The following is a 25,044-nucleotide window of genomic DNA, read 5'->3' on the forward strand; positions in this document are numbered from 1 at the left end:
TTCCTAGGCTAGAACTAGGCTTCTCTAAGACAAGGATGGATGGAATGATCAGTGGAGTGAATGAGGATGTAGAATCATTTGTTCATTATAGAAATGTTTGGATTAGAGTGGAGGAGGTGAACATCAATGGTTGGATCAGGGAAGAGGAAGCACCAGAGAAGTGGAGAAAGAGGTGACTGATGGGGCCTGCAGTTTGTCAGTGACCAAAGATGATCAGAGTGTGAAGCTTGGGAGATTAAGTCAGCTACAAGGTTTCCAAAAGAATGAGTCCAACCAGTTCCAGGGACATGGGAGATTGCTGCTACTTTGAATGTTTAGTAATTTTTTTGTTCGATGCCAGACATTATGCATTTTACCTCTTTTTTTTGAGATGGAGTCTCATTCTGTCGCCCAGGCTGGAATGCAGTGGCACGAACTCGGCTCACTGCAGCCTCTACCTCCTGGGTTCAAGCAATTCTCCTGCCTCAGCCTCCCAAGAATTGGGATTACAGGCATGTGCCACCACACCTGGCTAATTTTTGTATTTGTAGTAGAGATGGGATTTCGCCATGTTGGCCAGGCTGGTCTCAAACTCCTGACATCAAGCGATCCACCTGCCTTGGCCTCCTAAAGTGCTGGGAACACAGGTGTGAGCCACTGTGCCTGACCGCATTTTACCTCTTTGGGTCTGGATGTTCTTTTGTTCCTGTAAATATTCTTGAGCTTTATTCTAGGATACAGTTAAATTCCTTGAAAATGGTTTGATCTTTTTGGGTCTTCCTTTTGTAACTTTTATTGGTTGGGATGGGGACAGTGTTCAGTCTAGGGACATTATTCTCAACTGCTGAGATAAGAATCTACTCTGTGAATCTTGGGGATTTCCATTCTTGTCCTGTGTAAGTACCATAAATTATTATCTCTAATCCTTTTGAGATATTGTTTTCCTAGCATTGGGTATTTTGCTCACACACATCTTCAGATCAAGACTAAGCTGAATGCTTGAGGATGACCATCTGTAATCTCTGAGGTTCTCTTTTTGTGTAGCTTTCTCCTCTTTAGTAACCTGTTCTTGGTGTCCCTGAACTCTCAGCTCCTTATCCTCAACTCAAGGAGTACCCCCAGCTCTGACTGGTTTGCTCCTATGATATGGCCTGAAAACTCTCAGGACAATAAGCTCAGCAGTCATGGGACTCACTGAGAGTAAAGTTTAACATCTCTCAGGGGTCATTCTCCTTTTGCCTGATGTTCAGTGTTATGCAAACCATTGTTTTAAATATTTTGTTCATCATTTAGTTGTTTCCACAAGAAGTTAAATCCAGTCCCTATCATTCCATCTTGGCTGAAAGTGGAAGGCATTGGCACTCAATATTCCCATGGTGATTCTAATACACAGCCAGATTGAGAATCACTGCTATAAAATCCAGCCAAAGTTGGGATTGATAGTACTCCCATGGAGAACCTCACCTAGAGCAAGTACAGAATTGTTAATGATGAAGCAAATTACAATTGTGCAAATATTTTATTACACTTTGAAAATATGTAAATTCTTAACGTGTAATGCCTTGCCCCCCTGCTAGATTGCGAGCTCTCTAAGAGGGAGCAGGTGCAAGCCTTTCCCATATCCCCAGCATCTTTACATAGTAGAGGTTCAATAAGTCTATGTTGACGGTAAGTGGAAGAAATGAAATATATTTTCTGCTCATCTAGTTGGTCACATTCCTTTGTATTAAATTGGAAATGACACATCTCAGAACGTTTATTATGAATTCGTTTTAAAAGTTTATTTAGTAGAGGAAAACTCATTTTTTTCAGTAGCATAAATCTTTAAGAATTAAGAGGATTTTCTGACATTCAAATTACCTAAATATTTTCCTTCAAATGTACCTGAGGCTCAGTCCATTTTGTCCTGTCTTCAAAAGACCAGAATAGTTGCATTTTATTATCCTCAGACTCATTGGAGACTAGGCCTCTAAGGGATCTCAAGAGAATCCTTTGACTTGGCAAGAATCACTCGATCTTAGTCTGGTGAGTCTATTTTGCTAAGATAGTAGTAACTAAGTTAAATGTAGCAATTGCAGACTTCCTTGGCAATTCATTTGTCCTGACTGGTCTTATTCATCAATTTATAAAACAACATTTAGATAAGTTTTTCATCACTTATTTAGGTCATCCATTCATTCAGTTGACATTTATTGATCACTTGACATATGCCAGGCTCTTGTCATCTACTATTCAGTAGCTTCTTCTTTTCAAAGCATTTGTAAATAAATTTGATTTGTCTTTCTAATCCATAAAATAGTTGTAGGTTACCATAACTAAATGTATTATCAGGGTGATTTTAACATAAAATGTTAATTACTTGGTGGCATGATCTTTTACATAGGTTTATATATAACCTTAGGAATTAATATTATTGTTTTTCTATTTTATCAACTGCCTAGGCCTATCAGAATTATATTAAAAAGAATGGCGAAGAAAAATTACTTCCTGGACTTGACCTAAATCACAAACAACTATTTTTCTTGAACTTTGCACAGGTATTGTGTCTTTCTTGATTGATAGATATGAAAACCATTTTGAGTTATAATTTCACAGTAAGTTAGATGTCACATGCTGAGTTCCCTTGTTTTACAGAGCATTTGACTTGATTCACTTTCATTGTTTATAATAGACTGTTGGATCATATTAATGATAAATAACTATGTTCCTGGTTGCCTTTCATTGAACATTATTTGAAGAGCGAATGGTTGAGGAATGCAGAATTCCAATTTAATTTTTCTCCTTCCCCTCAACTTGCTCAAACAAATAATCCTTGATTGAACCTGAGTACATGCTTTGCTTTTCCTATTCCTATCTCTAGGTGTGGTGTGGAACCTATAGGCCAGAGTATGCGGTTAACTCCATTAAAACAGATGTGCACAGTCCAGGCAATTTCAGGTGCGTGGATATGAACAGCAATCAAGGTGCTCTTATATTGGGTCCATTGCTTCCACATTTGGAATTTAGACTTTTCTAACTCTGATTCTTTTACATTTGGAAATTCAGTGCTTTTTTTTTTTTTTGAGAGTCAAAGGTAGGATCGAGAGAACACATCGGAGCATTCTACATAAGCATAGCCTTGGCCACTCTCTTTCTTAGAATCTACAATAATTATAATTCCTTAGAATCTACGAGGCTCAGGGCTTGATCTATTCCAACAAAGATGTCGCCTCAGAACAGTGGCTCAATTTAAAGCTAGAACAAAGATATTTCTAAGAGGCTGTGAATGGTTTAGGCCCAGACCCAATGAGCTCCAACTTGCAAAGAAAAATTTCAATATAAAGGAAACTTTCTACTAATTAGAGGTTCTTCAATATGGAATAACATTATTCCCAAAGCTTCAGGAGAGAGTACATTGAAGCACAGCCCATCAAGGATGTGAGAGAAAAATGCTCTACAGAGTAGAAAACTGAGCTAGAAGAAGTTAAAGTTCTTCCCAAATTAGAAAATCAAAGAGAACAATGATTGAAGAGAGTCACTCCAACCAACATTTGAATGTTAAATCATAGATCCTATGTATTTGTTTAAGAACTGAATTCCTAATGCTACCCCTTTCCCATGTACTAGAACACTTAGTCACTCATTTGCTGATCAACAACACCTCTCAGGCAAGAAAGTTAAAAAAAAAAACCTAAAAATTTTGTAGGGTAGTTGGAAAATGAAATTTGAGAACAAAAGAGAACTAATGGGCTAAATTTCAAAAGCTCTACATAAAATGAATGTAAGCATACTGCCCAGATCATTTACTCCTGGGAAAAAACACATTCGATTATGGAGAAAAACACATTTAATTATGAAGCAATAAAGTAGTTCATTTAAAAATTAAAGAATTTATTCAGCTTGCTAGTATCATCGTTGTCATCATCATCATCATCATCATCATCATCTAGTATTTGCCCTAACATTTCTTTCAATATTCATTCACTCAATAACTGCTTATGGTATGCCTATTATCTCTGTAATCCAAGCTAAATTTAGTTCTGCTAAGATATTCAAATTAACTGCTTTATAGGTAATGAGCAACAAAAGTGACTGGATTAATTCCCATTGTGGTTTATTCAAAAAACTTTTAGTTTTAATTTTTTTAAAGTTGTCTTTTTCCTTACTAAAGTGAACTTAAGCTTTGAGGTAAGAAACACTTGAGTTCCAACCATGGCTTCACCATTTACTAGCTGTTAATGTAACCTCTGTACCTCAGTTTCTTGATATGTAAAATAAGGATTAAATTATCATGAGAGTTGCTAGAGGATTAACGTTAATATAAATGAAGAGCCTATTTTGTGTGTGTGTGTTTGAAAGTCCATACTAGGATTATTTGTAGACAAGAGGTATGAACAGAATAAGAATTCTTATGCATTTTGTAATAGTTCCCTATCAGTCAAGGCTTTTTTGGTGCTCATTTCTTATGTTCTGCACATTTCAGAATGTTAGTAACTGATCAGCAGTTAAGTAAAACGTACATAAGTATATAACTGTTTTCTAGCTCCAATTTTAAACTGAAAACAATATTTTGCTATAAATTAGTTAAATTATTTGTATCTTTAAGTCTTTATTGTTGTTCTGGTTCCAAAGATCCCTCATCGACTATTTTTCATTCATAACAACAGAAGCGTGTGTGTGTGTGTGTGTGTGTGTGTGTGTGTGTGTGTGTGTGTGTGTGTGTGTGAAGGGTAAATGGAATGGGTAAATGGAATGCCAACCTTTTGTCAAGGAAATTATTGTTTTCTCTGGAGGTAAGGAGATTTTCTTGGCAAAAGGTTGAGCTTACATTTAGTTTTGGAAACAGGCCACTTCCTGGCTGTACAAAGTAAAACATATTTTTTAAAAAAACTTTAAAAATTAATAGATATCGAGTTGCTATTTAAGAATTGTGCTTGGTGGTTATATAGAAATATTTCTGAATTAGAGAGAGATTTGTAACCTTATGTTTAAATAGCCATAGTATTAAAACAAAAGGCAAAATACACTTGATACAAAGCTGCATCATAAAACCATATTTGCTATGTCTAACCTATTGTTGTTTTATTCTTCCTGACTAAAGCTTTATTTATGTACTTTAAAATAAACTTTAGAAGTTAAGGTATAAGAATCTAATTCTAAGGATAGCAGCTAGCATTTATAAGCTCATAAAAACCACCATGCAACCTAATTTGTCAAGGGTTTGCCCTGCATATCTCCATAAACTAAAACATAAGTCATAAAAACCTAGGTGAATTTCAGTAATATTATTGTAATACCTAGTATATCTACCATCCTCAGAGAATGAGAGGTTGCAAATTAAGTTTTGATAGGTAAAGTTTGTCTCTTTTAAGTATTAACATTTTTATCTTAACCACTGGATTAAAAATTATCTATTAAAAACACATTTCTACCTTCCTGCCTTAAAACAATATCCTGAAAAAAAAAGCCTAACCTTTTTTAAAATTTTGATGACACAGACTACTTTATGATTATTAGTTATGGTTTTACTGTTTATTAATTTAGTCTGTGGAGCTATTTATTCTTATACCAATTGTGATGCTTTTTGACTTATTTTGGGTTTTTATTAGGGTTTTTCTGTGTGTTTGTTTCTTTCCTAGTTTTCTTTCCTATTATTGTATTGCCTGCCTTTAGTTCCCTAATTCCTCCATTTTGATTAGCTCAGAAAACATTTTGTTAAATTTAAATGGTATTTAATCCAAAAACATTCTTCTTTTAATAGTCTAGAAATTGAATCTATAATTTAAATATTGACTTCATTTTGGAAATCCAGTTTTTGGTTAGCCATCTATAGTCATTTCAGGGAATATTTATTATAATATTTATATGTAATCTATAAATATGTTTCTAAAATTATTTAGCTGTAATTTTCTATATAATATGTAAGGGTCTGATAATTTTGTAAAGCAAGTCCAAATAGACAAAATGATTTAGGTGCTTAGATTACTCAACATTATCTTCCAGTCAGGAAGAAAGGGCACTTTTAGAACTGACACCACTATCAAAGCAAGAAATGTTTCTCACAGCTTAATTTCTAATATTTTGAAGGAATATTTTGTCTAGTGTTTTATATAGACATGTCAACTAATATGGCTATTTTGTTCCTTCATAACTCTGTAATTTAGCATGCTAATAAGCCCTCTTTGAAATTCTTCTGTTTCTTCCATTTCCCTTCAATATTAGCATTGGTTCCTGATATTTATAGATATCAATATAGATTTTAGTGAGTTTTGCAGAATTTCTGTTAGCCCCTCCAATCTTTAGCTGATAACTAGAAATCTATTACAGCATTTATTTATTTATGACTGTATAGCAGAACATACACTCATCAATATGACTTTGCTTTGAAAGAATCATAAAAATTAGTTAATGATGAAGATTGGATACCTTATTCCTGAATGAAGGCAGTTAACTATGTAGCCAAGTCATTCATTTACAAGAATTAACAAAAGGTTGTCTGAGGACCCATTAATTGCAAACAGTAATTCAGAAGTCCAATTGTAGTAGGCAGGAATAGTCAGATAGGATATAAAGTCCATTCTTGGTCCCAATGCCAAATCTCTTAGATGTTTTTAATGCAAGTAACTGTTTGCCAAGGGAATAAACATCAGCAGTACAATAAGTTATTTTACATAATAAAGTAAAAATTTCAAGTAAATCACCTTAAGAAATAATTAATAAAAGCTTTATTATCTTCTGTTATTAGAAACACAAGCACACAGTTTTGTAAAGCATGAAAATCATGTACATATCTTCTAATAACAGAGGATAATTCATGTAATGTGATCTCACTCTTAGAAAAAAAGTGTTTTATTAATAATGGATTCACTTTTCAAAATAGATTATCTAGGCCTGGCACAGTCACTCACACTTGTTAATTCCAGCACTTTGGGAGGCCAAGGAGGGAGGATCACTTGAGCTCAGGAGTTCAAGACCAGCTTGGGTGACATAGTGGGACCTCGTCTCTATTAAAAACAAAAAAATTACCCAGGCATGCTGGTACATGCCTGTAGTTCCAGCTACTTGGGAGGCTGAGGCAGGAGGATTGCTTGAACCCAGGAGGTCAAGGCTGCAGTGAGCTGTGATCGTGCCTCTACACTCCAACCTGAGTGACAGAGCGAGACCCTGTCTCAGAAAAAATAGATGATCTATTCAAAGATTTGATGTCATAAACACCAAATGTTAACTAAGAAAGTAAGTGAAGCCCTAGTGTGTTGTTGATCTATTCAGGATCAAATTAGGTAGAGTCTTTGGATGGAAAGAGGATGGGCAGAATGGGCATGGAGAGCTGAGTGCACACCAGGCTGAGTATTTCTGCAGTGCCCACTCTCTGCGGTGTTATCTGAAGACGTTTCTTTCTTTTAGGTGTTTTTTGTTTGTTGTTTTAACTTAATTTTGAGATTTATAAATATAAATCCTAAAAATACTTTTTAAGAAAAATATAGAATTAAGTCGTGGGTTTGGACATTATTACCGAAGTACTTGTTCCCATATGATAAAATCTAAGAAAAAATCCTTTGGAAAAAATTAATAAAATAAAAACAAAAACATGCAGCTCTTCCAGTCAGTGATGCTGATGGCTTACCCTGTCAACCAGGGAGCTTGCTCCCTAGTGTGAGGAATGCCCAGGATGACAGGATGACTGTCTTTAGCCAGTAGCTAGGCATCCTGAATTGGGAAGAAGGTTGCATTAATGAATCAAAGCTCCTCTCTAACATAAAGAATCCTTGAGTCCCGCAACCTGAAAGACTAAAGACCAATGCAAATTCCTAATTTCTAAGCTCTTTTAATTCCTACATAAACAGTCACTTTTGACTACATTATAGAAGTGATTTTTTTTTGGCTCATGAACAATGGAAATTTGTTTCTCACAGTTCTGGAGACCGGAAGTCTAAGATCAGGGTGCCAGCATGATCAGGTTCTGGTGAGGGCCATCTTCTGGTTTGCAGACTGCAGACTTCTCCTTGTACTCTCACATGGTCCAAATAGTGAATTTGTTTTTCAATATTTCAGATGTAAGAAATGGACATTTGTTTTTTTCAATCAAATTAAGCCAAACTCTGAGCTCTTAGACCAAGCTAGGAGATGAGCCATTTACTTTCAGTGGTTTTTCAACGTACTCTTTCAGGGTTATTCAGGAATCTGATATCATCACACAGGCATAGAAATTAGAGAATAGCCTCCATCTTCAGCCCACCGTGGTCACTGCTGAGATCCCTACAGTCCAAATGCTCCAGCTGGAGTCAGTGGTTCCATTTCCTTCCAATGCTCATGAGCTCCAGAGCCTCCACTCTTCATGTCCAGGTTCTCCAACAACCACACGCCATGCTATCAGAGGGCCTCTCGGGGCCTTGCTCAGAGCAGGAAGCATCTTCTTGTCATTCACACAACCTGCCATTACTGGAACCTACCCCATTCTTGGGAAGGCCAATCATCTCCCTGACAAGTGGACTAATATATAAATTCCCCAGCTTCTGACTCCACTTCACCTCAACCCTCCCACACCAGGAGATTATTTTTCGTCTTTAAGACTCATCTAGGAATCCTAAAAAACAAACAACCAGAAAAGATTACATCCTCCATGAAAGATAGGAGAGTTGTGGTGGAGAGGGATAGAGAAGTTAGTTGATGCGTTGATGGGTGACATATTAGAAAGTCAGACTTACAAAAAATCCATATGGATCTCTCTTTTCTGGAATGAGGAAAGGGAAAGAAAATGCTTTCTTTCTCTTCCAGTTGGTCCATAATATCAAACAAACAACAGAAACACTAAGTCGTGTTTTTCTTCCTAATACCCTATTGCTTCTCTACAGGTAATCACTGTGACCAACCAGGTCACAGGTTAATTCATTCAGTATGTACTGAGTCCTGTGCTGGACTTTGGGGGTGCAGCAGTGAGCAAGACATACACAGTACAGCATCTTCCCTCAGCATCTGTGGGGGTTTGGTTCCAGGCTCCCTGCAGATATCAAAATTTGTGGATGCTCAACTCCTTGATATAAATGGTGTAGTATTTGCATATAACCTATACACCTTCTCCCTCCTATACTTTGTCACCTCTAGATTACTTATAATACCTAATACAATGTAAATGCTATGTAAATATTTGTTATACTGTATTCTTTAGGGATTAATGATAAGAAAAGTAAGTCCATACGTTCAGTAGACAAAATATTTCCCCCACATATGTTCAGCCGCATTTGGTTGAATCCACAGATGTGGAACTCAAGGATACAAAGGCTGTATTTTGCCCTCATAGAAATTAGTCTAGTGGGTGTGTCAGGAAGTAAAAAAGGAGAACAAATCATTGTAAATGTGGTAAGTGCTTTGATAGGGATAGTCCCTGTAAGAGGAGTTAGTTTAGATGGCATTCAAAGAAGGGGGCCAAGGAAGGAATATTTAAGCAAAGGCATGAAGGCTGAGGAGTTAGCCATGTACTGACTGGTGAGTAACTTTCCAGGGAGTAGGGTCTGCAGGTAGCAGGAAGCTCTGAAGAGGGACAGGGTTTGGCTGGTTTGAGGAACTGAAGGTAGGTCAGCATAGTTTGAGCCTAAGGAGGAACAGGAAGAGAAATGTACCACGAGGAGGCTAGAGAGGAGACTGGAGCCATCAGGAGGACATTGGAAGCCATGGACAGGAGTTTAGATTTCCTTCAAGTCCATGGAAGGTTTTAAATCTGAGATTATGGAATCTGATTTAAATTTTACAGATCATTCTGACTGTGGTGTGGAGAATGGTTGGAGGAGAGAGAAGTCCTAAGATGTACACACAGTAGTACACCTGCCACGTAGGGAGAATTCCATAAATCAAAATGGACTCACCTGTCATTTGTGCCTAGTCCTTCCAAACCAGTCCACTTGTCTCTGGGCCCCTCCTCCCAACCCAAGCAAACGTGGTAGGCTGGCCTTAGCAGGAGGAGAAGGGAAGGAGGTGGTTCAGGGTTCAGGGTGGGTGTGAAAACATCACCTCTGCATCAATGTACTGACCCATCTCTCCCCTCAAACACTGCTAGGTGCAGATAGTGAGTTGGACTGTGTTGTTTTTGCCCACTGGGGTCAGAGATAAGAGGAAAATGGCATTTTGCCAGCCCTTTCCAGTTATTCAAGCTGAATCCAGCTTCTGATATTTAAGGAGCCCTTTTGGAAAAAAGGAAAATAATCCTCTATAAAAGCAACAAAAAATATCTATTTAAAGTCTATTATATTTAAGTCATTATGTGAGCCCTTTCAAGACATAGTGAGAAATCATGATTATATTCTTTGACCAAACTCTTATTATAATACAACTCCAAATACCTGCATTTTCAAATGTGAATTATTCATGTTTTACAAACACATATAATGCTTATAAATTATTAACTCTCCATGACAACCTTAAGATGCATGTTCTATTGTGCAGAAACCAAGGCACAAAGAAGCTTCATAAGCAGGATTCAAGCCATGTAGTCTGTCTCCCAAATTGCTTTTAACTCCTGTTCTTTGTTACTTCTCCATTTAAAAATTCTGTTAATGAGAAGGCACTGACTCATTGTACCAGGTTATTTTAAGTTTAACTTTAAATTCCAAATTCATTCACTTGACCTGCAGAGGGAAATGCTTCAGGGCTCCAGTGTGGTATGGACGTGAGTATCAAATGCTGACGGTGACTTTTTTTGTTTGTTTCAAAGGATTATTGGGACTTTGCAGAACTCTGCAGAGTTTTCAGAAGCCTTTCACTGCCGCAAGAATTCATACATGAATCCAGAAAAGAAGTGCCGGGTTTGGTGATCTTCAAAAGAAGCATTGCAGCCCTTGGCTAGACTTGCCAACACCACAGAAATGGGGAATTCTCTAATCGAAAGAAAATGGGCCCTAGGGGTCACTGTACTGACTTGAGGGTGATTAACAGAGAGGGCACCATCACAATACAGATAACATTAGGTTGTCCTAGAAAGGGTGTGGAGGGAGGAAGGGGGTCTAAGGTCTATCAAGTCAATCATTTCTCACTGTGTACATAATGCTTAATTTCTAAAGATAATATTACTGTTTATTTCTGTTTCTCATATGGTCTACCAGTTTGCTGATGTCCCTAGAAAACAATGCAAAACCTTTGAGGTAGACCAGGATTTCTAATCAAAAGGGAAAAGAAGATGTTGAAGAATACAGTTAGGCACCAGAAGAACAGTAGGTGACACTATAGTTTAAAACACATTGCCTAACTACTAGTTTTTACTTTTATTTGCAACATTTACAGTCCTTCAAAATCCTTCCAAAGAATTCTTATACACATTGGGGCCTTGGAGCTTACATAGTTTTAAACTCATTTTTGCCATACATCAGTTATTCATTCTGTGATCATTTATTTTAAGCACTCTTAAAGCAAAAAATGAATGTCTAAAATTGTTTTTTGTTGTACCTGCTTTGACTGATGCTGAGATTCTTCAGGCTTCCTGCAATTTTCTAAGCAATTTCTTGCTCTATCTCTCAAAACTTGGTATTTTTCAGAGATTTATATAAATGTAAAAATAATAATTTTTATATTTAATTATTAACTACATTTATGAGTAACTATTATTATAGGTAATCAATGAATATTGAAGTTTCAGCTTAAAATAAACAGTTGTGAACCAAGATCTATAAAGCGATATACAGATGAAAATTTGAGACTATTTAAACTTATAAATCATATTGATGAAAAGATTTAAGCACAAACTTTAGGGTAAAAATTGCCATTGGACAGTTGTCTAGAGATATATATACTTGTGGTTTTCAAATTGGACTTTCAAAATTAAATCTGTCCCTGAGAGTGTCTCTGATAAAAGGGCAAATCTGCACCTATGTAGCTCTGCATCTCCTGTCTTTTCAGGTTTGTCATCAGATGGAAATATTTTGATAATAAATTGAAATTGTGAACTCATTGCTCCCTAAGACTGTGACAACTGTCTAACTTTAGAAGTGCATTTCTGAATAGAAATGGGAGGCCTCTGATGGACCTTCTAGAATTATAAGTCACAAAGAGTTCTGGAAAAGAACTGTTTACTGCTTGATAGGAATTCATCTTTTGAGGCTTCTGTTCCTCTCTTTTCCTGTTGTATTGACTATTTTCGTTCATTACTTGATTAAGATTTTACAAAAGAGGAGCACTTCCAAAATTCTTATTTTTCCTAACAAAAGATGAAAGCAGGGAATTTCTATCTAAATGATGAGTATTAGTTCCCTGTCTCTTGAAAAATGCCCATTTGCCTTTAAAAAAAAAAGTTACAGAAATACTATAACATATGTACATAAATTGCATAAAGCATAAGTATACAGTTCAATAAACTTAACTTTAACTGAACAATGGCCCTGTAGCCAGCACCTGTAAGAAACAGAGCAGTACCAGCGCTCTAAAAGCACCTCCTTGTCACTTTATTACTCCCAGAACAACAACTATCCTGACTTCTAATATCATTCACTAGCTTTGCCTGGTTTTGTCTTTTATGCAGATAGAATCAATCAGTATGTATTCTTTTGTGCCTGGCTTCTTTCTCTCAGCCTTACATTTGTGAGATTCCTCTGTATTGTGCTGATTGTGGATCTTTTCATTCTCATTGCAGAATAATGTTCTATTGTGGGACTTATTACAATTTGTTCATCCTATTGTTGATGGGCACTTGAGAACTTTCCATTTTGGCGCTATTACAAATAGTGCAACTATGAATGTACTGCATGTTACCATCTTACTTGAGCCTTTAATGGACTTATTTCTTCAAATCCTTCCAAAAATTATTATAAGCATTGAAATTATAGTTTCAAGCCAACTGTGGATACCCTTACCCTTTCCTCCTTTATCACAACCACCGTTACAAGTATACTTATATTTCCCTAAAATACATTTAAAACTTACCTAAGTGACATTTGTAGTTGGAGTAATAGGAGCTTCCAGCTCTAATAAAACAGCTGTCTCTAACTTATTTTATTTCCATCATGTCAGAGCAGGTGAAGAGCCAGAAGTGAAGAGTGACTAGTACAAATTATAAAAAGCCACTAGACTCTTCACTGTTAGCTTTTTAAAACATTAGGCTCCCATCCCTATGGAGGAACAACTCTCCAGTGCCTGGATCCCCTCTGTCTACAAATATAAGATTTTCTGGGCCTAAAGGATAGATCAAAGTCAAAAATAGCAATGCCTCCCTATCCCTCACACATCCAGACATCATGAATTTTACATGGTACTCTTGTTGAGTTCTGTAGAGCCTTCTGATGTCTCTAAAGCACTACCGATTCTTTGGAGTTGTCACATCAGATAAGACATATCTCTAATTCCATCCATAAATCCAGTTCTACTATGGCTGAGTTCTGGTCAAAGAAAGAAAGTTTAGAAGCTGAGACACAAAGGGTTGGGAGCTGATGAAACTCACAAATGATGGTAGGAAGAAGCTCTCGACAATACCCGTTGGCAAGGAGTCTGCCTCCATGCTGCAGTGTTCGAGTGGATTGTAGGTGCAAGATGGAAAGGATTGTAGGTGCAAGCTGTCCAGAGAAAAGAGTCCTTGTTCCAGCCCTATTCTGCCACTCCTGACAGGGTGACCTTGGGTATTTGCAATATTCCTTTGGGCCTCTGCTTCTCTCACCTAAAAAAAGAGAATTAGATTATATTGGTGGTTCTCAGCAAGAGAAGGAGTATGTGTCCAATGCTGCCTTCCCATGAATCTGTCTCCCAGTTATGAATCAGTGGGCAGGATAAACTGAAAACTCCCATTTACGTGTCTGAATCGAGTGAGACAAAATTTTAGTCCAAATAACAAGTACCAAAGTTTTATCAAGTTTGGGTCTGTGCTGCTGTTACTGTTAACCATTTAAGTGGGGCAAAACCTTGCTAATTTTCTCAAAAGCATTTATCATTCTTGTTGCCACAGCTGGAGCTCTCAAACTAAAAGACATTTGTTATTTTGGAAAGAAGAAAGACTCTATTCTCAAAGTTTCCTAATCAGAAATTTTTATCAGTTTCCAGTCTCAAAAATACAAAATAAAAACAAACGTTTTTAATACTATTGCTTTTATGCCTAGTCAACTCTGTTCCAAACTGCCAACTCCTGTGTAAATCTCTACCCCATTTATTTCTTGAAAAATATTAAGATTAAATGGAGCTTTTATCTCTGTAGTCTTGCATTTCCCACTAGCTTCAAATTGAATTTTTAGAAAATGAATGATATAAGCTTTGTATCCATTATGTCCTTGTTTTCCCCACCCTTTTTCAAAGATCACCATGACTTTCTGATTGGATTTTTTTTCAAAAGTGAAATGGCCATCAAATGTTATATGGAGTCACTAGCATAATCAGATGACTTAGGCAAAAGCCAAAAGTAAGTGTCTTTATCCACAGTCTCTAGTCTGAAGAAGTTGACCATTTGGTTGGTCAAGTGGACAGAGGAGTCACATCTGACTGGTGGTCAAACTGGCACATGTTTATCGCATTCTAATCTTTTATCTAACAATGGTTTCTTAATTTCTGCTTCTTTGTATTTTGCATTTCCTCTAAAACAGTGAGAAACACTACTTTCACTTTCAACCTCATAGACAAAATGTTGTGCTTCTATTTTGCTTGACAAAACAGATCTTCTCAGTTGTACAAAGGAAGTCTGGCAGAAAAATAATCATTGGCTCTTGCCAGAAATAATGATGAGTTTCCAACTTGGGGAAGTATAGAAAGACTGGAAAGACTAATATTTATGATAAATGTTTATACTCTGGATTTTCCTTCTACCCAGAAACTGACAATTTTGCGGGTATTAGGCATATTAGCATCCCATTTCACTCTTATAAATACACTTGATAGAATCTCCAATCTGACATTTATGCTATATCCAGGAAGACAAATGGAGCCAAGTATCTGTATTATCGTTTTACCTTGGTGTAAATCCTTCTTACATGCTATGAATGCTCTATGTCCTCTGACATACTGCATCAAAGATGTAATGCTAAGACGTATGGCAGCTTTATAACACCAAAGAAATAGGGATTCAAACACTAACTAGGGCTGGGTGCAGTGCCTCACACCTGTAATCCCAGCACTTTGGGAGTCTGAGGCAGGAAGATTGCTTGAGCCCAGGAGTTCAAGACCAGCATGGGTAACACAAGGAAACCCCATCTCTACAAAAAGTAAAATACAAAATTAGCCAGGCATAGTGGCACATGCCTGTGACCCCAGCTACTCGAGAGGCTGAGGTGGAAGGATCGCTTAAGCCCAGGAGGTCAAAGCTGCAATGAGCCATGATTATGCCACTGCACTCTAGCCTAGGCAACAGAGCAAGACTGTCTCAAAAAAAAAACAAAAAATAAACAGAAAACCTGACCAGCAGAAAATATTTAGATGTAGTAAATGAAAATAGAAAAAGGACACAATGTTGAGTATGCATTATCATATCAACTATGTTAAAATATTATTCCATAGAAAAAGAGTTGGAAGAATATATGGCAAAAATTAACCAGGGCTATCTCTGGGTGGTAGTATTATAAGCAGTTCTTATTTTCCTTTTTTGGTTTTCTACATTTTAAGTTTTTCTGTGATAGGAAAATGTTACTCTTAAAAAGTCATTTTAAAAATATTATTTGGAAAGAAAAAGAAAAGGAATATGAAAGGGAGGGGAGTGAGGGGGAAATTGACCCAAAAAGAAAAATATAATTTCCCTAAATAAAAGGGTTGTTAATTCTTTTTAGGACCTATTCAATTTGATGTCTCAGGCAACTTAGACCCAAGGAACCTGGTGAAGTAGATTTTGGTCAAGAGCTTGCTGCCTCCAGGACAGGCCAGATCTGTTTATAAAGTAACTTTGACACACACTGTATAACACAGAATGGAGGAAGTTGCTGGACCTTCCTCTGGTACTTAAAGTGCTTCTGTGAGAACAAAGCATGTAATCTAGAGGAGGTTTTGGGCTTTTTCCTGAAAATGCTAAAAGGTTGACTGACCCAGCCACACTCTCCCACCTGGTCCTCCGCACCTCCCCAACCCGCCCCAAACCCCAGCATTTGCCAAACCCTGACCCAGATGAGGATACAGTGTATGGCTGTGAAAGACAAACCAGTAGATTATGTGGTAATTAGATCTAAATGCTTCACCTGGTAGGCACCACAATTCACCTTGTGGTCAGATGCTAAAATTTAGAGGTTGAATAGGGAGGAAAGAGCAGGATACAGCTAATCCCAGGTGACTCACTGCTTAAATATGCTTAAATTTGGTAAGACTTTAGTTGCAAATGTGAAAGTCAGAATCACTCTAAGTAAGCCAAAACTAGAGATTTTTTTGACCTGCCTTACCAAATATGGGGTGAGTGTGAATAACTGGGCCTTCTTTCCCTGTCTACTTTATTGTTGCAGACTTGCTTTCTCTAAAGTCAAGTCATGATGGTCAGCCACACTCAGGCTCAGAGATTCTCCATTTCCTCTCCAAGAGAAGGATAGATTTCTTATCACAATACACATTTGACAAATCCTAGAGAAAAACCGATTGGCTTATTTTAGAAACATGCCCGCCCCTGTGGATAATGCATGAGGAATTGGGGAGGTTGTAGAATTATGATCTTTCATCTCCTATGGAGCCAAAGAAGGACAATTTCTCAAAAGAAGAAAAGCACCATTCCTAGAAGAAGAAGGAAAAGAAAAAGACATTCAAAACACCAGTAATTACCAGATGATTCTCAAAAGCTTCACAAAACATTTCGGGTTGGATTATATTGTGCATATTACTCTTAGAATAAATGTTATCTTAATTTTCATTTTGATCAAAAAGAAGACATTATATAGTTTAGTTAGATTTAATATTTAAGAAAATGAAGTTATTAATAAAGAAGGATGGGAAGGAAGAACAATGATACTTACTATTTATTGTGAGCCGGGCACATAATTTAAGTTGTTTGCATAAAGTGTTCATTTAATATAGCTAACCTGTGAGGTTAATATTAGTACTCCCATTTCTTTCCTTTTTTTTCTTTTTTTTTTTTTTTTTTGAGACGGAGATTTGCTCTTTCCCCCAGGCTGGAGTGCAGTGGCATGATCTCGGCTCACTACAACCTCTGCCTTCCAGTTTCAAGCAATTCTCCTGCCTCAGCCTCCCGAGTAGCTGGGATTACAGGCACCTACCATCACACCTGGCTAATTTTTGTATTTTTAGTAGAGGCAGGGTTTCACCATGTTGGCCAGGCTGGTCTTGAATTCCTGACCTCGTGATCCCAAAGTTCTGGGATTACAGGTGTGAGCCACTCTGCCCAGCCAGTACCCCCATTTCATGGATGGTGAATTTAAGTTTCAGAGAGTGTAACTGACTTATCCAGATTCACACAGAAAATGACAAGACCAGGGACTAAACCAAGTTATATTGAAGTGCAAAGTCTATGTAAATTTACTATCAAATCTGTACCTCACTATAAAATGCACTTAATCCTATCAAAATCAACTCATTGGCTGGGCAAGGTGGCTCATGCTTGTAATCCCAGCACTTTGGGAGGCCGAGGCAGGAGGATCACAAGGTCAGGAGATCAAGACCATCCTGGCTAACATGGTGAAACCCCATCTCTACTAAAAACACAAAAAATTAGCTGGGCATGGCAGCCATCACCTGTAGTCCCAGCTACTTGGGAGGCTGAGGCAGGAGAATGGCATGAACCCAGGAGGCGGAGCTTGCAGTGAGCCGAGATTGTGCCACTGCATTCCAGCCTGGGTGGCAGAGCGAGACTCCATCTCACAAAAAAAAAAAATCTACTTATTATTTATAGCTAATAATTCCCAAAACATATATCTTTTTAGAAAAATGAATGAAATGAAAAGTAGTATATTACTTATATGTCTCCTATTTTAAAAGAAATAATACACATTATCAAGTATTTTAAGTAATTCTATCAATAAACATTTATTAATCATCTGATACGTTCAAGATACTATATTGGAAACACAAAGTTAGAAAAGAAAAGCAAGATAAAGCAATATTGTTTAGCCAGTACTGTACTTCTCTAATACATGTGTTCACTTATTCACTGGTGAAACATTGAGCATTATTTATGTGTGGTGCACTATACCAGATCCATTAGAAGATAAATGAAAACAATTGTCCTTTTAATATAGTAGAGACATGAAAAATGTACACAAACATATTACACAGCTAAACATGACATGCCAAGAGATATAGAGAAAACAAAATTTGAAAATTGAGGAGAATTTCCTTTCCTATCATGGTAAAGACATCCTGGATGGGATAGAATGTAATTTGCATTTGACAATATGGCTGGGATTTTGGCAATTAAATCAGGACATAAGGAAATATTTTGGCCTAAAGGTATCTCACATGCAAAATTAGATAACAAAATAGTAAGAACCCCATAATTACTCTGTAGCAATGCTAAATCTGAAAGAACATAGCAGTGGGACGTATGCACTCTGAATCTGTTGACACAGTTATTCATTATTTACAGTTGCCTTTTTGATGCCTGTACCAAGAAAAGCCTTCCTTATGTATTTGAACATCTTATGCTACTCTCAAAGTTTATTCATGATGTGAAAAATGCCTTAAGCATTTCTTGGCATTTTGCTAGAAGCGTGATAGGATAACATTTCATCCTATTCCCAAGAATGTAGAACTCTGCTTTTATTTCAGCCCTGTTGCTAATTCATTGCACTGAGCAAATAACTAACTTCTCTGCATTTCTATTGTCTCAGAATTAAAATCATAGTTAGGATCAAGGCCTTGTGAAAATCAGAAGGCAGACAGGCAGAATTTTGCAAACCACACTTCTGGAGAATGGTGAGAGATATCAGAGTGCCCAGGAACTAGAGAACAGTGTTGTGAAACTTCTGAATCCAGAGAGAGTCAGATAGACCTAGGGACACAGAAAGTCAAAGCAAAGACCCTCCAAATGTCTATAAGCATTTGGCTCCTCAATTTCCTCCTCTGCAAAATGGTCATAATCACTTGCACCTCTCTGGGAAGGGTACTGTACCAGTTGCCAATAAATTATATTTGCAACTGCATTAAAATTTAAGACTTTTATTCTTACCTCTGACTTTTCCCCAGCATTAATTAAGCTCTATGGATCTTTAAAAATCAGGGCTTTGGGCTAAAAGACCAGGATTTTATTTTTTGTTTTTTTACCATATTACCTTTCATGTTGCTTTCAGTGAATCACTTGCTTGATCCCTTTTGAATCATTTTTCTCACTAGACACTCTTGAAACAGAAAAGGCACAAAAAGTGCAATCCTTTAAATAGTAAGAGATTTCTTCAAAAGTTGAAAGAGCAAAAGCAGGAACATACTCAAAACAAAATTGAAGTGGTTTTTGTTTTCTTTTGTTGTTTTTGTTATTGTTGTTTGTTTTTGTTTTTGAGACAGAGTCTTGCTCTTTCACCCAGGCTGGAGTGCAGTGTTGCGATCTTGGCTCACAGCAACCTCTGCCTCCCAGGTTCAAGCAATTCTTCTGCCTCACCCTCAGCTGGGATTACAGGTGTGCACCATCACGCCCGGTAATTTCTGTATTTTTAGTAGAGACAGGTTTTCACTATGTTGGCCAAGCTGGTTCTCAAACTCCTGACCTCAAGTGATCTGCCCACCTCGGCCTCCCAAAGTGCTGGGATTACAGGTGTAAGCCAAGCGCCCGGTCCAAAATTGAAGTTTTGTGCAAGATGATAATTTTGGGGAAAACAGTTTATAGCATTATGCAGATATCTTCACTTTGCTCAGAAAATGTCATTGGCCCGGAGACCTCAGGAAAGCTATTTAACGCCTCTGAAACTTAGTTTGCTCAGAAAGGAACTATTAAAACGTAAACACATTTTTGCCATTTAGGTGTGTTGTAGGCAGAATAATGGTCCCCCAAGGATGTTCATATGCTAATTCCCAAAAGTTATGAATATGTCAGAGTATATTGCAAAGGGGAACTAAAGGTTGCAGATGGAATAAAGGTTGCTAATCAGCTGGCATTAAGAAGATGAGAGTAGGCTGGATTACGCAGGTGGATAATAACCCAATGTAATAAGGGTTCTTCAAAGCGGAAGAGGTAAGCGAAAGAGAAAGTCAGAGTGACGTGATGTGAGGAGGGCTTGACCTGCTCTTGCTGATTTTGAGGATGGAAAAGAAGGGTCACAGGCCAAGGAATAAAGGCAGCTTCTAGAGGCTGAAAAAGGCAAGGAAATTGATTCTCTTCTGGAGCCCACAGAAAGGACCACAGTCCTTCTGACACCATTGTTTGGCTGAGTGAGACCATGTCAGATTTCTGACCTACGGAACTGTAAGATAAGTTTGTGTTGTTTGGGGACCACTAAGTTTATGGTAATTTGTTATAGCAGCTATAGAAAACACATAGAATAAGTAATTATTTAGCAAATAATACTTCGGAATTATTTAAACCTTTTGAAAAGAATTCTAATCTCAGATATTCCAGTGGTAAAGTATGTGCAACTATAAAAATTTCATCTCAAACTACTTACTATTCTTCACTTACCTGTTTTTAAATGGTGACTTTAGGGATACAACATCAATTTGAGATAACTAGAGATGAGTTGGTATTATTTTAAACTAAAATTAGTGATCATAATTGATTCACTCATGCAAAGACTAAAACATTGGCCTTTATAAAATAAACATAATTCATCATACAGAGGTTAGGTATTTGGCAATTAACAAGCCTTGCCTCTCACCCGCCTTTCATCACAGCATGCAAACTAACTAACCACTGAGAGGACCTTCCCTGTATAAGCACTAATATGTCAGGAAAACATTTATGGCTTTATCCACTAAAGTAGCTAAAATATAAATTGTTTAGGCAACGCTTTGAGAAAATAGAAACTCGGGACCGTAGAAATACAAATCATAAGGCAGCCTTCAGATTTTACTGCACTTGGCACACTGCATTTTCCTGAAAGTTATGTATTATTTTTACCTTAGGCAAGCTAATAATGAATTGCTCTGTTCTAAGGAACTTCTGCACTTCAGCTTTAAAGAGCATGTCATTAAAAATATATATTCCAAATGCTTAAGCATTATGAATAAAGAAGGATGGTCACACTGGCAAGTGTGTGCTGTCCTTGGTAACAACATAAAGAATATTGCTGGTTTTTAAGTGTACAGCATCTATAAGTTCTATATTTACATTGCTCAGGGCTTCCTCAACCTTTGAGTTCTATAGATAGCAAAGTACATGAAAAAAGCCCAGCCCACAATGTGCTGGAGCCAGCCTCAACAGTTCATGAGAGCTGATTGTTAAATTTTCAGAAATCCCATGAGCTAGCTGATGTCATACTGGTAGCTTGAAATCAGCCAACACTAGAAGTCAGGTTAGGTTGGCTTATTTTTCCTGGAGAATCAACTGTTCAGCATTTGCACTTTACAAAGGCAATTTACAGTCCAGGAAGTGAAACCAGGGCCATCATCTAAAGCATATACAATCTATGGGACTTCTTACCTTAGTTAAAGTAGACTTGCATATTTGTAGCTTTTCAGACAGATGGCTATAATTTTCTTATTCTTATAGAATTGGTATGCTAAAGGAACCTTCCAACAGATGAAAGTCAAGTATCTTGAGGAAGAAGTGCCTTTTTCTACTTCACACAATGGCAATATGTGTGCTAATGCTAACCTGAGGGGTTAACCTAAGTCAGTGCTAGAGACTGAATGTTTATGTCCCCTAAATTCATGTGAAACCTAATTCCTAAAGAGGCAATATTATAAGGTGGCACCTTTGGGAGGTGATTACATCAAGAGAGTGGAACCTCCATGTTTGAGATTAGTGTCCTAGTAAAAGAGACCCCAGAGAGATCCCTGGCCCTTTCTGCCATATGGGGAAACAGTGAAAAGACAGCCATCCATGAATCAGGATGAAGGCCCTCACCAGACACTGAATCTACTGGTGCTGTGATCTTGGACTTTCCAGCCTCCAGAACTGTGAGAAATTTCTGTTGTTTCTAAGCTACTTAATCTACAATTTTCTATAGTAGTAGCCTGAACTGACTTAAGATTATCAGAATAAATAGAATATGATATAGGATTCAATAATGATCAAAGTGATGGAGGAATCAAATGAAGAAATTACATTTACCTATGAATATTTGCAAAGTCTTTAGTAAAATGTGTCATTGAGGTAGGTTTTAAAGATGGAGAGATTTTTTTTTTCCCCAAGAGTGAATGGTAGGATGGGAATTCCAAGAGAAGAATACAACCTGAATCAACATTCGTAATTGGGACAGTTCTTCGAGTCAGTTGGGTTATCTCAAACTAACCAGACAAAAGAGTTATTTTTCAAGGTAGTTCAGAGCCAAACTGGGGGCATCTAGAATTCAAACTAAGAAGTTTTAATTTTGGAAGTGCATTTGAAATTTTAAAGCCATATTTTCTGCCAAAAAGAGGATTGTGCTAACATGAAAATAGAGACCTGGTAGACAACACAAAAGCAGACTTCATGTCTGTTTTTTACCATTGAAACTTCAGGGCTTGTTACAGCACCAGGCATATTTTAGCACTCTTTCTTTTTTTCTGTTTGGGAACTAAAAGGTGAGTTTATGCTATTGTCCTTAATTATTCTACCACAAAACACACCTGTTGAAATATCTTCAGCATATCCAACTAAGCCAACCCCCGAACCATCTCTTGAGTCATTTTATAAAACGATGTTTGTATCCTTTCCTCTGGTAAAACATCTTGCCAGATTAAAATGCTAAGAAACAAAATTAATGATAAGAAGAACATAATTAGAAAAATTGTTGACAAAAGGCTAGAACACGAGAAACTTGCTTAATTGTATGATTCTCATTCTGTCACGGAGCTGTGAATCAGCAGCAGCAAATGGTACTCAAAGTGAGATCAAGGCAGAAAAGAAACTGTAGTTGAATGAAATGAGATACTTTAGTGAAGAGGCCCATTTTATTTCAGCCTCAAGATTGCCTGTTCCTGAATAGAAAGGGTGCTACACTGGCACCCTTCCCTCTTCTGGGAATCCTGGCAAATCAATGACAGGACAAGTATGGTGGGGCAGTAAGGTAACTGGCTTGAATCTCTACCTGATGAGGGCTCAAGCACTAGAGGGAACAGATCAAGAGCACTAACTGTGAGGTCCGTATATATAAAACAATAAACAGAGATGGTAGAGAAAGTGTCACAGTAAATGTCAAACAGTCTGTCTTAACTCGCATCATCATGTAGAGACAAATTCCAGGCCCTCTTAAGCTTCTCTCAAATATTTCTGAGAGTCCTACATGGCCCACACGTAAGTCCCATATACAACCAGGTTTAGGACCCTTGACTGCTAAAGAATTCCCTGCTCCCCAGCTCCAGTCTTCTACAAAGATTTCCTCTGTTAATGCCAATTCCTAATGCAGCAGCTATGCTCCAGTGTCCACAAAGGGGGCTACTGCTGCCAATCCACACCAAAGGGACAGCCACAGCTACCTACCCCTAGTAACATATCTCTGAGCATGCTGATGCCAGACATTGATGGCATTGTCATCTGACCCAAGGGCACTATCTCTTGTTACTGCCAAAGATTGCAGCATAGAATCTTTCCATTGCATCAACTACTAGATGATTGAAAGCTCATGTTCCCACATCTGACAGATTTTTATGGGGGGAGGGGAACATATCTCTGTCTATCATGTTTATTTGCCTGTTTGCTGACTTCTTCACGTGGGACTCAAATTTGAACTTATGGTGGCATTCCAAGTGACAGATAATGCAGTGAGCTTAGAATCTTTTCCTTCCCAAACCAAACTTTTGAATTTCAACTCACTTCCCTTAGGTTAAATTATCTCCTATGAGGCTCCTCACTTCATTCTAAAATTCCTATTGAGATGCCTCAGCCCCTAGACAGGGCTGATACTCAGCTGGTATGTGCCTAGGTAAGTGTGCCATCCATCCACAGCTGGCACCCATTCTGATTGACTGGTGTTAAATATTCTGGCTAGTCCCTTATCTCCAGGCCTACCTCAGCCCTAGGGTAAACACAGTGGAGGCTCACAGAACGGTACTTTTAAAAATATCAAAGGAAAATGTTTTCCATGCCTTAGTTTCTTAATAGTGGGAAAAATATAAGATTGCTACATCATATTAAAGGTATTGACTGTTATTTGAGGAGATGTCAGTGCTTCTCACTTACAGATGAATACACTGCAGCGTAGTACAGAATATGACAAAACAGATTCCTTCTGATACTGAAGCATAACCTAAAGGTCCCAAAGTGGTTTGTCAGGTAAAAAACTACTAATTGTGTCTCAGCATCCATTCTCTTCTTTTTTTCTTCATCACAGAATTCCCCAGTTTTATCTGAGCACATAGCCAACCTGGCTAGAGACTACATTTTCCAGCCAGGAGTGGACATGTGATTAGAATATGAGATGAAGCTATATATACTACCTGGGTCACATCATTTAGAAATGAAGTTGCCGGAACTGCAAGGTGCAGTCTGGACTTGACAAATGTGGGGCTGATGAGGCAGCCTCAAGCTGGGATGGTAAAGTAACAGGATAGAAAAAACCTGGGTCACTGGTCACTCTCACTGTTGACGTATTCTGGACTGTTGAGAGAGAAACAAACTCCTATCTTGTATGAGTTTGACTTGTTAACTTTGAGTTTTTTTGTTTTTGTTTTTTTGATGGAGAAGGAATGTCTCTTTGTTACAGCAACTTAGTCTGTGTGCTGACAAATGCAAACAACTATCAGTCTCTGGAAGAAATAAACAAATGTTTGAATATGTGTATAGGAGTGACCAGAGAAATGCATGATAGAACACCAGGGACTGTGTAGTCAACATGGAAATAATATCTATTGGGAAGAAAAACTGTAGGCCTAAACTTTAGATTTAGATGCTAAAAGCTACATGACAGTCTGGAAATCTACCCCATTCGGGGTTTAAAGACAAAATAGAATTATGTTAAAGTCATTTCTTAATGATGTCCTCTATAGCCACTTCTCTCATATGACCTTCCAGCCAATCATAGGAAAATGAATGAATGAGTTAAATGTTTAAAGTTGTTGGATTTGTTGGGGGCAATTAATACTGGCTACTAAAACACACACTCCCAAAATTTAAAAACAAAATAAAAGTTTTGTTCTCCC

General features: G+C 37.5%; 1 protein-coding gene across 10 annotated transcripts in view, besides 2 other annotated features; it reads left to right on the forward strand.

Annotated features, from left to right (window-relative positions):
• Positions 1-14,033, forward strand: part of MME (membrane metalloendopeptidase) — a 159,528-nt gene extending 145,495 nt beyond the window's left edge. For 6 of the 10 annotated variants that reach the window (XM_047448157.1, NM_007288.3, NM_001354643.1 and 3 more), the window contains exons 21-23: positions 2,421-2,516; positions 2,840-2,916; positions 10,664-14,033. In XM_047448157.1, coding sequence (XP_047304113.1) covers positions 2,421-2,516; positions 2,840-2,916; positions 10,664-10,763 — 273 coding nt within the window. In that variant the 3' untranslated portion in view covers positions 10,764-14,033. The remainder of the gene's footprint in view (positions 1-2,420; positions 2,517-2,839; positions 2,917-10,663) is intronic. The other 4 variants (NM_001354642.2, NM_000902.5, NM_007287.4 and 1 more) reach the window with 1 other exon arrangement.
• Positions 9,389-9,620: a silencer, noted in NCBI's record as "fragment chr3:154896874-154897105 (GRCh37/hg19 assembly coordinates)". NCBI's record gives its function as "represses an EF-1alpha promoter that drives an FKBP-Casp9 reporter gene in an ReSE screen in HepG2 liver carcinoma cells {active_cell/tissue: HepG2}" and the evidence as "EXISTENCE:reporter gene assay evidence [ECO:0000049][PMID:32094911]".
• Positions 9,864-10,158: an enhancer, noted in NCBI's record as "tiled region #4432; K562 Activating DNase matched - State 5:Enh". NCBI's record gives its function as "activates a minimal TATA promoter and a strong SV40 promoter by Sharpr-MPRA in K562 cells {active_cell/tissue: K562}" and the evidence as "EXISTENCE:reporter gene assay evidence [ECO:0000049][PMID:27701403]".

The sequence above is a fragment of the Homo sapiens genome, chromosome 3 (genome assembly GCF_000001405.40).
Source record: "Homo sapiens chromosome 3, GRCh38.p14 Primary Assembly".
In the NCBI taxonomy this organism is placed as follows: domain Eukaryota; kingdom Metazoa; phylum Chordata; class Mammalia; order Primates; family Hominidae; genus Homo; species Homo sapiens.